The following is a 2,193-nucleotide window of genomic DNA, read 5'->3' on the forward strand; positions in this document are numbered from 1 at the left end:
CCTTTATACATTGACTTTTTAAAATGATCAGCACAGGGTTCTATTCCTATTTTAAATGGAAGAAGGTGACAGATAATACTACCATCACGTGAATTATTAGTCTTACTGCCAACTAAAAAACCAAGTAAGGATGGATTTTAGAGGTGCAAAAAATTATGACTCACTTCTTTTATAATGAGAATGAACACCAGATTACTTATGAAACTCTGAAAAACCCTACTGAAAACATACTGGTTTAGACTCAGAACAATTTTAGGAAGCTTACAAATATTTTTTACCATTACCACAATTCTGAACAAGAGAGTATCCTGTTTTGCCTACAGCTGCTTTGTAATTAAGCTTTTCTTTTTCTTAAGGTTATGTTCTTATTGTAGTTTATATGCTTTATTGAAAACATCAGAACCAACCAACACTTTGCAGGAAGTTACATGGACATACTCTCCCAATTTAGATTTTTCTTTTAAAATAAACAGCAGGACTGTGTCTGCTTTGTTCATCACTGTAGTCCCAGGGCTTGCCTCGCACGTGAACTGGAATACAGCAGGCCCTTACCAGTGACCCGTCTGGCAGTGGGAGCACTGAGGGAGAGCGGGCAAAGCTTCATTTCAGTGGGGAAAGAGTTTGAGGAGAATTTCATTTATTTATTTTCTTCAAAACATTAAAGGGAAGAACTAAAAACAAAAACCAGCAAACAAAATAATATTTGTGAAAAGTGATTTTCAAAAATTTCCAAACTGCTGTGGGGTGATGAGTGACACACATTTCCATAAAGTTTCTCATTCTATCTGTGTCTTTCAGTGTGAACAAAAAATTTCTTTCTAACATGTGAAGATTTTACTCACTTCACTACTACCTCCTTTAGTGGTTGGAAGTCATTTGAATTTTTCTTTACTTTTCTAGCAAGAATTCTTTGTTTTGTGCTATGACTCACGTGAATAATAGCTCCTGGCTTAATCTGAAGCTCTGTGTTGTCTCTGCCAGCATGAGACAGGAAGACCTTCTCCACTTTTGCCCAGTAATTTTCATTCTCCCCCCACAGGGCTCCACTTAAGCGAGAGTCCACTGGAGGATGACATGCTGACATGGTCACAGCCAGTAGAATTCTAGAGGGAAAGCATTTGGAGCCTATGCCATTTGAAAAACAATAGTTCCATTTGAGAAACAAAAGAAACACAGTTTTTAGCATTTTGGAAGAATGAAAATGTTTGAAGTGGTTCCAAGGGCTCCTGGGCCCAGGGGAGTCTTACATGAAGACACATCTCTTAATATTGAGCCCTCCTGCAACTCTGGGACATAGCTCTCCAGTCTGGGATCAGTTTCTGCTCTGTCTGGCAACAGCCTACCAAGTCTCATCCACCAGTTTTTCCTGAGGACAAGGAGCCTCTTAAATCTGAACTATGGTGAAGTGTTTTAGTTTGAGATCCCGGGAAATAGACTCTGAGACAAAGAACTGTGAGTAGGAGGTTTCATGGAGAGTGCTCTCAGGATCCACACCTGCGAAATAACTATAATAATAATAATAATAATAATAATAATAATAATAATAGTGAAGGCCTGGACTGGGTAGAGGAAGAAACTGATCCAAAACAAACGTGCAATGAGGCCTCAGCCAATTCCTGGGGGGCAGATCTGGCTGTGTACAGCAGTTCCTGAATAATGTTGGTTCATTCGATGTTCTTTCCTTATAACGTTGATGAGAAAACAATTGATTTGCACCTGGGGCCACCATCTGTGTGTATTTGCACAACCTCCCCATAGCTGCATGGGTTTTCTCTGAGTACTCTAGTTTGCTCTCTCATTCCAAAGTCATGCACATTAGGTTAATTGGCATGTCTACATGGACTCAGTGTGAGTGAATGTGAGCATGGGTGTGAGTGTGCTCTGCCATGAGAGATTGTCCTGTTCAGGGCTGGTTCCCACCTCACTCCGTGAGCTGCTGGGATGGGCTCTGGCCACCCATGACCATGAACTGGAAATAAGCAGGTAAAGAATTATCTTACTTGGTTTTATTAATCTTTCTTAAATGTATGTATAGTTCACATTTATTTCAATGTTTAATATTAGAAATGTTTTGCCTTTATTTAGAAGTTTGGTATTTTGTGATCAGAAATCTGCCATAGGAACTTCATTATAGTTTATATCAATTAGCCTATGGAAAAATTGTTTTTGTTATATGTCATTTTGCTTAAAGCT

The 2,193-nt window shown here is 38.9% G+C and overlaps 1 annotated feature.

Moving 5' to 3' along the window:
- Positions 817 to 1,408: an enhancer, noted in NCBI's record as "OCT4-NANOG hESC enhancer chr20:21917369-21917960 (GRCh37/hg19 assembly coordinates)". NCBI's record gives its function as "activates a minimal SCP1, AML or CMV promoter by ChIP-STARR-seq in primed H9 embryonic stem cells {active_cell/tissue: H9 hESC(primed)}" and the evidence as "EXISTENCE:reporter gene assay evidence [ECO:0000049][PMID:30033119]".

The sequence above is a fragment of the Homo sapiens genome, chromosome 20, assembly GCF_000001405.40.
Source record: "Homo sapiens chromosome 20, GRCh38.p14 Primary Assembly".
NCBI lineage: Eukaryota > Metazoa > Chordata > Mammalia > Primates > Hominidae > Homo > Homo sapiens.